This window comes from Homo sapiens, chromosome 1, assembly GCF_000001405.40.
Source record: "Homo sapiens chromosome 1, GRCh38.p14 Primary Assembly".
NCBI classification, from domain to species: domain Eukaryota; kingdom Metazoa; phylum Chordata; class Mammalia; order Primates; family Hominidae; genus Homo; species Homo sapiens.
In genome coordinates, this window is record NC_000001.11 from 192,603,077 (window position 1) to 192,609,262 (window position 6,186).

At 37.8% G+C, this 6,186-nt stretch overlaps 1 long non-coding RNA gene across 1 annotated transcript in view; it reads right to left on the reverse strand.

Annotated features, from left to right (window-relative positions):
* LOC105371664 (uncharacterized) overlaps positions 1-6,186 on the reverse strand; it is a 115,921-nt gene that overhangs the window by 89,964 nt on the left and 19,771 nt on the right. The gene's annotated exons all lie outside the window — the stretch shown is intronic.

The following is a 6,186-nucleotide window of genomic DNA, read 5'->3' on the forward strand; positions in this document are numbered from 1 at the left end:
TTTGACTCCTAATCCCTATATGTCCCCTATCTTTGAAGCCTCAGTATGCCCATTCACATGTTCAGCCCAGTCTCTAGGCTCTGAACAACACTGTACTTGAAACAGGGGAATATGAACATTCTTCTGTTGATAATTTCACTGGCAGTATGTTGCTCTGGTCTTGCTGCTTGCTTATATTCCAGCCTTGTAACTGAGTAACTTTCATTTTTTTTCTTCTTACTAGTATCTCATACGGACTTAATTTACTGAGTACCCAGGCACTGATACTAGGCCTTCACTAACTGAGCTCCACTAATTTGTTGCCCTCCTGACTGTCTGTTTATTGACTGTTGCTTCAAGCTCCACTGATAGGTGGCCTTTTACCAACTGGCTTGTACTTGTTTTGGCCCCTTGATTAGAATTACCCACTTTCCTTTCTTCCAACAGTCAAACATCCTGGTTTCACATGCTGCCCAATGTGTTCACTTTCCAGATGACCTTGATTCCATGTCCTAGAGATGACCCGGACCAGAGCCCATTGATTGTAGCTCCTGAAGTTCTGCAGTCTGGCTCATCTTGTAAACAGACAAACCCAGCCTCCTCATTGTAAACTCCACAGAGGTGTTTATTCTACTCTCATGTATTTTGCTTGTTTGTTTGTTTTGTTTGCTGTCTTCCATTTTTAGAATGCTATACCTCTTTTCTCCAAAGCCAAATCGATCCTTCAAATCCCAGTTCAAGTCCCACTTCAAGAATATTCTAGTTTTTAACTAGTGCATCATCTCTGAACAATATAATAGCTCAAACCTGCACTATATAATGTTTTATCCTTCTCTACTCCCTCAACTTCAGGTATATAATGCAATTGTTGCTAACAACTAGGTAGTTACAAAACATATATTTGATTCAAATATTAATTATATTTTAATACTCAGGAGACTTCAAAATAGGAAAGTTATGTGAGACTTTTATAAAATAAATTACAAAGTATTGGACTATAAATTTAACCCCAAATAGATAGAGATAGATACACAGATAGATAGAGCACTTACATGATGCCAACCATGTAGAACAATTTAGTCACAAGCTTTCAATCATCTTCCAACATAAATTTTATTCTGCTATTGAGGTATTTCTAGGGAATCTATGCTAAGAAGACCTAAAGACATATTGGAAAGAGTCAAATGTCAATCATATAATGTAGGGAGGTTTTGGATGAACTGCTTTAGGCTATATTCTCTCTCAAGAGGTTACAATGCTTGTTCTAATATATGATGTTGTCAATTTCTTGTACATTTTTAAAAGTATAAAAGTATTTAGCATCGTATGCCCAAACCTGCAACGAACTATATTTAGTATTTTTTATTAAAAATATAAACTATTAAAAAATTTTTGATGGATTAACAGAAAGGAACTATGTTTACAATACAAAATAAAAGGAGATAGCCAGACTAGATCTCTAGAATCTATCTAGTTTTATAATTGTAAAATTCCAGGAAATACCAAATCATGCTGACAATAGATTCTTGAGATAAATTTCATTTCAATAATGTATAGATTGTATGCAAAGAAATGGACCTGGATAATGCTTTTTGATGGTTTCTAACTTTATTCCAAGTCTATAGTCTTTGTGAGTAGAGGACTAAATTGAATCTGGGCTCCACCAAGAAAAAAATAGGTGACCTAGGACAAGTCATTTAACTTCTTTAGTTTATTTACTTTATTTATTTAGTTTATTTATTTAGTTAGTTAGTTTATCTGTATTTACTTATACAGATAACTATAATAAATGCCCTGTCTTCCTCAAGATCATATTATAAAAATTGTGTTAAAAAACTTATATCAAAATGCTTTACAAGTAATGTTTTACATAAAATTTAATTATTATGAATAAATAGAACCTTTAAAAACTAAATCTTTCAAGATTATATTCATTCAAATGGAAATAGCTAAATTTGTGCATGAATATCAGATGACTTCTTCCTGCCTTGGTTACTAATGAATGGCCAAGCTTGTTTCTATAAATAAATGGGCACTGGCATATTTTTTAAAAAATACATGTGGCTCAAGATTAGACTTCTTCCGCTTTGTGGTATCACATGTCTGACCACAGCAACTATTTTAAATCATGGTCTATGCTTTTAATGACATCTAACTCCACACAAAGAGTCATCATTTTTATCTAGACGTGTGTGACGTGCTTGATTGCAATGTGTTTTTTTTTTGTGTGTGTGTGTTGTTGTTTTTCTCTTTATCATTTTAACATGCATTTCTATAATACTTTGGTAATCTTGAAAACACTCAGGTCACCTTACAACATCAAGACAGGCATAGACCACTGTTTCCTTAAGTCTATAAAGTTTTGTTATAAAAATTGGGTAGCCAGCTGTTCTTGGCCTAACATTAATCTAATAAAAGTGTTTCCAAAGAAAGTTTATGGAATGAAAATTCATTGCTATTATTTTCAACTTTAATTGAATTTTTAAATAAAAACACTAAAAACTAAACAATAGTATTGAATACTACTATTGGAATTCATAGCTGGGCATGGCAGTGCATGCCTATAATCCCAGCTACTCAGGATGCTGAGGCAGAAGGACTACTTGAGGCCAGAAGTTTGAGACTAGCCTGAGCAATATAGAAAATCCTGTCTTACATGAAATACAGAAAGAAAGAGAGACAGATGGAAGGAGGAAGGGAGGGAGGGGGAGAAAGAGAATGAGAGAAAGAGAGAGGAGAGAGGGAGGGAGGAGGAGGGAGGGGGAAAGAGAGAAAGAAAGAAAGACAGAAAGAAAGAAAGACAGACAGACAGACAGACAGACAGACAGAAAGAAAGAAAGAAAGAAAGAAAGAAAGAAAGAAAGAAAGAAAGAGGGAGGGAAGGAAGGAAGGAAATAGAGAGAAAGAAAGAAGAGGGAGGGAGGGAGGGAGGAATGAAGGAAGGAAGAAAGGAAAGTAGGAAGGAAAGAGAGAAAGAAAGAGAGAGAGAGAAAGAAAGAAAGAAAGAAAAAAGAAGGAGGGAGGAAGGAAGAAGGGAAGGAAGGAAGGAAGGGGGAAGGAAGGAAGGAGGGAAGGAGGGAAGGAAGGAAGGAGGGAAGGAGGGAAGGAAGGAGGGAAGGAGGGAAGGAAGGAAGGAGGGAAGGAAGGAAGGAGGGAAGGAAGGAAGGAAGGAAGGAGCTGCAAAACGGCATGGACCAGAAACCTCTTAGTGGAGATCTCTGTATTGCTTGTCTATCTGGGTGGTGGGCATTCTGCCTACCCTAGACTCAGTCTCAAGCAGGGAGGCCAGTATTTTTCATACTGGAATTCCTACCTAGACTGTGTCTCTAATGGATGCATGTACTTTGCCACTTTAGTTACTTACTGTATTAATGAAGAAAATGTGACAAAGACTCATGAATATTTGGTCAGTTGTATTGGTTAAAAAGTCATTACTATTGTGGGTTTATGAGTTTTTGACAGTGTTTTAGAGTATTCAAAGGGTTTAACACATGCAGTGTATTGTCCCAGATAGAGCATCTACTTGAAGACAAACAGAGCTACATTCAAATCCTATCAACTTCTGCAACTTAATTATTTGTATTATCTTGGGGAAACAGATAATAATAGTGATAATAATAAAAATAGAGAGAAAGTGAGGAAAAAAGAAATAGAAATCAATCAGCAATAAATACTAAAATAAAAATAATAGGGGTTAAAGGCATAGAGAATATGGACATGGAGAAGGTTTACATAAGTGTGTTCAGGGAAAGTCCCTGTGATGAGACAATGCTGGAACCTGAAGGAACTGGAGAGGTGAGCTTTGTGTTTTTATGAGAAGAGCATTTCAAGGAGAATGGAAAACAAGTACAAATTGCCCAACCTGCCAAATGGGATTTATCCCAGGGGAGGAATATTACAAAACAGCCAGGTAGTTCTAAGAATCCAGGTGCTGACAGAAAGTGCTGGGTACTTGGCAACATGGCAAAACTCTGTCTCTACAAAAAACACAAAAAATTATCCAGGTATGGTGGCGCACACCTGTAGTTCCAGCTCTCTGGGAGGCTGAAGGGGGAGGATTGCTTGAGCCCAGGAGGTCAAGGCTGTAATGAGACAAGATCGTGCCACTGCACTCCAGCCTGGGTGACAAAGAGAGATCCTGCCTCAAAATAAATAAATAAATAAGAAAGTTCTGGGTAGAGCTGAAAAAGCAGCATATTTGGCAGAGATTCTCCACCCCATCACAATGCAGGCATAGCAGAGAAAGAAGAACTACATGGGGTCTCTAGACAGCTGGACTTGGGAAGCTGTAGAAGGCTCCACTGCTCGAGCCATGGAAGAGCATGGAAATTGCTAGAGGACTGGACTCAAAGGGGTTTTCGTCAGAGACAAGGAGCATTCAGCAATGACCCAACTGGGCCAGCAACTGAAGACTCTACAGGATCAGAGATGACAAGGCCATCAAAGTAGCTCAACCAACAGAACAAGAAGGTGGTGTGGAGGGACTCCAGCATAAACAGAGGATGGCAACCAGGTGATCTCTTCCTGCCTTAATACCACAGTTATATGGAAACCCCAGAACAACCAGGTTTTGAAATTAAGTAAGAGGAGATGAGAAATTTTAATTTTTTAGATACATAGGTTATTGAATTGATATTCATATTTCCTCAACTGTTGAGGGCAACAATAATGCAAATATATATATGTATACACACACACACACACACACACACACACACTCACACAAACATACATTTGGCATGGAATACATATATTGCAGGCCAAAACATCCTTTTTATTCCCTATTCTTCTGTGCTTTGGGATTAAGGTTATCTAAACTCTGGATATATCATCAATCATGTATACACCAAATCCTGAATGTGCTAGGTAAATAATACTCTACTGTAATTAAAAACATAAATAACCGTTGTAAATTTGCTATCAAGAAGTACAGAGTGTCTGTCATGGGATCATAAAGCAAGGCTATCTGAGCTCGTCTGGAAGATCAGGGAAGGCATTCTAATTTGGTTTGCTGAGTCAGGGAGCCGTACCACAAGCCTGTCAAGTAGGTATTATAGGTATCATTATAGTTATTTTACAGATGAGGAAAAGGGAGATAGTGTTTGCCTCTGGGGAACGTCAGGCACTGGGGTGCTAAAGAAGTGTCACAAGCTTTATTTAGACTTATCTGCAATTGTTTACATTTCATAAAGAAAATAGTTTTGTGTTTTATTTGTGTAATTAAAAATTCATTTTTACATAAGTTTAAGTAACTCATGCTGGAAGTCACCCAGCAACTAAATGCCAACACTGGAATTTAACTCATTTCTATCAGGTCCCAATGCTCCTAACCAAAATGCTCTAAAAAAAAAAAAAAACCAGCCCATTTCCAACAATAAGACAATGGGTATCTACATCATAGTAAAAATATACATATAATGAGATATTTGAATTCAAGGTCTGAGGTTCAGGTGCTTTTAATGTACAGAGTAGGTCTCCAACAGATCTGCTGGCATTTGCAACCTATTACTGCTGATGGGCAAGTACTCAGAGCCCTTATTTATGTTCATCCACTGTTCTACATAAAACTTGTGACATTCCCTGGCTACTGGTGCTATAACTTGTGTATGCTGCTCTAAGGGATGAAGAAAAGACATGACACTTAAACAAACCCAAAATAAATATCAAGGGCAGCACCTGGGTCTTTGACATCTCCCTAATGGCAGAAATCTTCCCTGTTGTCAAATTTACACACTCTCATAAACCATACATTGCACACACCACCACCACCACCACCTCCGCCTCCACCACAACTGCCACCACCATTTTATCCAGCTCATCATTGGCAGAAAAGAGGGAAATTTATGGATAATTTGGAAAGTAAGAAAGAATGATAGGCCTTATTTTATCACAATGTAGGCATCGTGTTTTTCTGCTTTGGAAATGGGAAGTATATAAGTTAGGAATTCTTTACTATTACAGCAAAAATAATGCAAGACAAAAATGTAATTAAGCATGAAAGGAATTTATGTATTAGAAGACTATTGGATAGTTCTCATCATCTCTAGGAGGCCCAGAAGTTGGAAACCTCCTCCCAAATCCTGCTGCGAAACTGTCCCACAAATTGGCATCACCACCACCGCTGGGCACACACACTGCTGCTTTCAGAGCCAAAACCCCAGACACCAAGCACCATCTGCTGCTACTGGATCCCACAGCACTGACGTG